This window comes from Homo sapiens, chromosome 3 (assembly GCF_000001405.40).
Source record: "Homo sapiens chromosome 3, GRCh38.p14 Primary Assembly".
Lineage (NCBI taxonomy): Eukaryota > Metazoa > Chordata > Mammalia > Primates > Hominidae > Homo > Homo sapiens.
In genome coordinates, this window is record NC_000003.12 from 99,309,881 (window position 1) to 99,315,916 (window position 6,036).

The 6,036-nt window shown below is 36.3% G+C and overlaps 1 long non-coding RNA gene across 1 annotated transcript in view; it reads left to right on the forward strand.

The window, feature by feature from the left end:
* LOC124909399 (uncharacterized) overlaps positions 1–6,036 on the forward strand; it is a 38,409-nt gene that overhangs the window by 32,034 nt on the left and 339 nt on the right. The gene's annotated exons all lie outside the window — the stretch shown is intronic.

Genomic DNA, 6,036 nt, shown 5'->3' on the forward strand with positions numbered 1-6,036 from the left:
GATGCAGAAAAGGCTTTCCATAAAATTCAGCACCACTTCATGTTAAAAACTCTCAATAAACTAGGTATTGAAGAAACATACCTCAAAACAATAAGAGCCATCTATGACAAACCCACAGCCAACATCATACCCAATGGGCAAAAGCTGGAAGCATTCCTCTTGAAAACTGACACAAGAAAAGAATGCCCTCTCTCACCACTCCTATTCCTAGTAGTACTACAAGCCCTAGCAAGAGTAATTAGGCAAGAGAAAGAAATAAAGGACATCCAAATAGGAAAAGAGGAAGTCAACTATCTCTGTTTGCAGAAGACATAATTCTATATCTAGAAAGCCCCACAGTCTCAGCCCCAAAGCTCCTCCAGCTAATAAATAACTTCAGCAAAGTTGCAGGATACAAAATCAATATGTGAAAATCACTAGCATTTCTATACACCAATAACAGCCAAATTGAGAGTCAAATCAGAAAAGCAATCTCATTCAAAATTGCCACAAAAAGAATAAAATACAAAGGAATACAGCTAACCAGGGAGGTGAAAGAGCTCTACCATGGGAATTACAAAACATCGCTCACAGAAATAAGAGAAGACACAAACAAATGGAAAAACATCCCATGCACGTGGATAGGAAAAATCAATATCATTAAAATGGCCATACTGCACAAAGCAATGTACAAATTCAATGCTATTCTTATCAAGCTAGCAATGACATTCTTCACAGAACAAGAAAAAACTATTTTAAAATGCACATGGTATCAAAAAAAGCCCAAATACCCAAGGCAATCCTAAGGAAAAAGACCAAAGCTGAAGCATAATGTTACTTGACTTCAAACTATACTACAAGGCTGCATTAACTAAAATAGCATGGTACTGGTACAGAAACAGGCACATAGACCAGTGAAACAGAATAGAGAGCCCAGAAATAAGGCCACACATCTATGACCATCCAATCTTTGACAAAGCTGACAAAAAACAGCAATAGGGGAAAAGACTCCCTATTCAATAAATGGTGCTGGGGTAACTGGCTAGCCATATGCTGAAAAATGAAGCTGGACTTCTTCCTTACACCATATAGAAAAATCAACTCAAGATTGACTGAAGACTTAATGGTAAAATCCAAAACTATAAAAACTCCGGCAATGACATTCTTCACAGAACTAGAAAAAAATATTTTAAAATTCATATGGTACCAAAAAAGCCCAAATAGCCAAAGCAATCCTAAGCAAAAAGACCAAAGCCAAAGCATAATGTTACTTGACTTCAAACTATACTACAAGGCTACATTAACTAAAATAGCATGGTACTGGTACAGAAACAGGCACATAGACCAATGGAACAGAAGAGAGAGCCCTAGGCAATGCCAACCTGGACATAAGAACAGGCACACATTTCATGATAAATACACCAAAAGCAATCAGAACAAAAGCAAAAATTGACAAATGGGATCTAATTAAACTTAAGAGCTTCTGCACAGCAAAAGAAACTATCAGCAGAGTAAACAGATGACCTACAGAATGAGAGAAAATATTTGCTAACTATTCATCCCACAAAGGTCTAATATCCAGCATCTATAAGGAATGTAAACAAATTAACAAAAAAAAAAAAACCTCCTCATTAAAAAGCAAGCAAAGGGCCAGGCACAGTGCCTCATGCCTGTAATCCCAGCACTTTGGGAGGCCGAGGCAGGCAGCTCACCTAAGGTCAGGAGTTTGAGACCAGCCTGGCCAACATTGTGAAACCCTGTCTCTACTAAAAATACAAAAATTAGCTGGGCGTGGTGGTGGGCATCTGTAATCCCAGCTACTAGGGAGGCTAAGGCAGGAGAATCACTTGAAATCAGAAGGTGGAGGTTGCAGTGAGCCAAGATTGCGCCACTGTACTCCAGCCTGGGCAACAAGAGCGAAACTCCATCTCAAAAAAAAAACAAGTGAGCAAAGGACATGAACAGACACTTCTCAAAAGAAGATATACATACAGCCAACAAGAATAAGAAAAAAAGCTCAATATCACTGATTATTAGATAAGTGCAAATCAAAACCACAATGAGATGCCATTTCACACCAGTCAGAATGGCTATCATTAAAAAGTAAAAAAAAAAAAAAAAAAAAAAAAAAATTACAGATGCTGGCACGGTTGTAGGAAAAAGGGAAAACTTACATGCTGTGGTGGGAGTGTAAATTAGCTCAATCATCGTGGAAAGCAGTGTGGCAATTCCTCAAAAGCTAAAAGCAGAACTATGATTTGACGCAGCAATCCCAGAGGAATATAAATTATTCTACCATAAAGACATATGCATGTGAATGATCATTGCAGCACTATTCACAATAGTAAAGACATGGAATCAACCAAAATGCCCACTGATGACAGATTGGACAAAGAAGATGTGGTACATATACCCCATGGAATACTATGCAGCCATAAAAAAGAATGAGATCACATCTTTTGCAGGAACATGGATGGAGCTGAGGGCTATTAACAAATTAATGCAGGAACAGAAGACCAAATACTGCAAGTTCTTATTTATAAGTGAGAGCTAAATGGTAGGAACTTACAAACACAACAAGGGAAACAACAGACACTGGGGTCTACTTGAGGATATAGGGAGGGAGGAGGGAGAGGAGCAGAAAAGATAACTATTGGGTACTGGGCTTAATGCCTGGGTGATGAAATAATATATACAACAAGCCTCCATAACACATGTTTATCTATGTAACAAACCTTCACAGGTACCCCCAAACCTAAAAAAAAGTTAAAAAAGAAAAAAGTGCGGAAACAATAAATCAAAGAAACACTCTTCCCACACACATCTGCAAACTGTTTCTTTCTCTCGATTATCAGTCTTCTAACCCCCTTTACCTGAGTAACATTATAACTACTTTCCCTCTATCTTCTTTTACTTTTCTTCTCTCCATTTTTTCTACCTTGGACACAGTGACTTTTAAGACTCCAAATCTCTTCATTATATTTCCTTTATAAAAGTTCTAATACTTTAGCTCTTTAGATAACAATTGAATCCTTAGCACAACCATACACTATCTGGCTGCTGCCTACAGTTCCAGCCTCATGCTGGGTATTCTGGTCCTTGGCAACACTCTGATACCTTTAAGTCAATGCCTGTGTCTAGAACATTCTTCCCTCATCTCCTCATCTATTAACTTATATTTATTTTTTAGTTCCGCACTCAGAGTCCTCTCTATACAACCAACTAGAACAGTTCCCTTTGGTATGCTCACAAGAGTACCCAACAATGATTCTTCATATCACTGACCACAGGGTATAAGTGGATCTAGGAAATGTTTTCATAATTTCTATTTTTACCAGATTTTTAGGCTCCTTGGAGTTCGGGATTCTATTTGTTTGCTCACCATCATATTCAATGAACTTGACAGATTTCCAGGCACATAGCTGGCTCTCCGTAGTTATCTCTTCAATTAATAAATAAGTGTAAAAATTCTTGCCTTAAGGACAATATTAGACATCTGCTTTCATCACTTAAAAACAAGAGATTTATAGAAGGAAGTTTAGAATAATAGTAATAATAAAAAGGTTATGAGTCAGAGAAAGAAAGATGTTCAAAAGGGAAAAAGTTTAAATGAAATCAAAACATACACAGCACACTTTACTTCTAGATTTAAGTATTAAATGTTTATCATAACTATGAGAAAACAAAGAGCATCATGTATCTATTTTACATTTCTCTCTTCATAATTTCAGTATAATTCCATAACTGTTGGAAACAAGTTTTAAAATTGCATTCCACATGGCAGCCTTTAAACAATAATGTTTTTTCTGAAACAATGCCAGGAGATTTTACATCACAGATGTCTATGTACCCAAAGATTCATTGTGCAGAAACTTATTCCAAAATATTCCCTTTAAAATTTGCTTATGCATTTCCTTATGTAAACAAGTGAAGGCAGTCAGACATAAGAGAAGAATGAGAATGTTGCTACATTTTTAAGTATACAGCATCTGTTGTATTAAAATAAATATAACATGTTTTTTAATTCTGTGTCATTAAAACTAGCCTACAGGAAACCTCAGGGAGTAAACTATAAGTGGTATACCCCATACACACATATTTAATAATGACTAGCACACAGGGAACCTGTACATTTGCAAAGAAAATCAATGTCAATGTTTCCTATTCAAACTAATTTGGCCATAGGGAGGAATCCTCAGAAATAGGATATTTGTTATTCAGAAGCCAGACTGAGCCTAGATGAGTTTTCAAAAACAAAATCTAATCAGGGTGCTTTTTGTGCCAGGTGCTTTACAAACATTATGTCATTTAATAATCATCCCTTAAGGTATATATAATTATCAACATTTACAGAGGAAGGAACTGAGACTCAGATATATTGAATAATTAACCAGAATAGATGCAGTTAGGTAACAGTGGGGTTGGACTTGAACTCAGGTATAACTCCAAATTCTTCCCGTTGTCCACTCAGGCCTACTTGACAGCATTCTTCCTCTCTTCTTTAAATTTCAATCTTTCTCAGCCTGTGACTATCCCAGTCTCTAAATCCTTCTCAGGATGTTATTCCTCCCAACAATTTCCCTCTGCTCAACTTTGTGCACTTTCACTGTAGTTACTGTGATAGACATTACAAACTTGGAAATTCACTGCTTTGTAGGTATCCTTCTAATTAAAGGTAGTCTAACTAAAGGGTAAGTAACTTGAGACTAATTTCTATTTCTTTGTTCTCTTTCTCCTTTACACTTTTTGGTCATGGAATAACTTGGGCAAGCATTTACCTATTAATGTTAAAGGCTAACATGTGAATAGTTGGAAGAATAACATAATAAATGACAACGTATCATTTCCAAATTTCTGGTGCATATATTAACTTATTTAAGCATCCTTTTCAGCTCAATGTGAAGGGGCCCCCCATGTGGAGTTTGCCTCATTAATTAAGGACTGTGATTAATTAAGGACAAATCCCAAGCTAATCCCAAACAGGCCTCTCCTACTTGATATCCATGTGCATTTTTTCCTTACTAAATGAAACTGGAGAAGAGATTTTTCTTCCAAAGACCAAGCCCATCATAGACTTTCCTCATCTCGACCTTCTTGAGCTTGGGATTCCAGCATATGTTTATTTAATCTAAATAGTCTTCCGTAAATTATTTAAGTTCACTTCAGTGTGCTCACCCATGAAAGTTTGTAGTAATGCATAATGAGATATCTTCAAGGATTAAATGAGATTAATTAGACCAGACAGGTTATAGGGAAAATTCTTAGTCAATGTTAAGTTTCTCTCTTTTACCTTCTCTTAGACTTTCTAATTTATTCTAAGTTCTCATCAGTTCTTGCTCTTTTTCCCTAGTTCCCTTTTTTTCTAGCTATTTATTTCTTCACTAATATCCTTCAAACTTGATCTGCTTATTTTGAATAAATTCTGCAGCCTCAAGGCTTTCTATAACTGAACTCTCCTATCAGCCTCCTATTTCTTTCCCTTACTTTAGAAACTTTGTAGCCTGGAACTTTATCTCGAAGAATAAATTTCTAAAATGGGTAGGTTGTGGTTACATAACTCATCTTGAATTTGAGCATGCCGAAAACCTTCATTAAATTCATATGTCCTGCTGTGAGAAGATAGAGCCGTTCTTTTCCTCTCAACATTACCATAAAAGGGCATCATGTCTCCATTTAATTAGAGTCCACTACCCCTGTCTCTAGCCAAGCTAGAGATATTTTCAAATCTACCATGATTTTTGAAACATGGTGTGGCTTGCTATAAGACTCACTTTCAGTAAACTTGATATTTGGGTATATACTATATAAATTATAACAGTAAGAAAATCTAGGAGAATAATTATGGGAAATATTCAGAAATGGTCATAAGGAATAACTATAATCATTGGTAGTAGGGTATAATGCTTAAGCTTAATGGTAATGTCAATGGCATTGTGATTGTGTTGGTTTGGAAATATGGCCCCCAAATCCTTTTGACCCTCTTCCCATCAAGGGCTCTATGTCCTTTACCCTTAAATTTGGGCTCTGTGACTTCTTGAATCATAGAATATGCCAAAG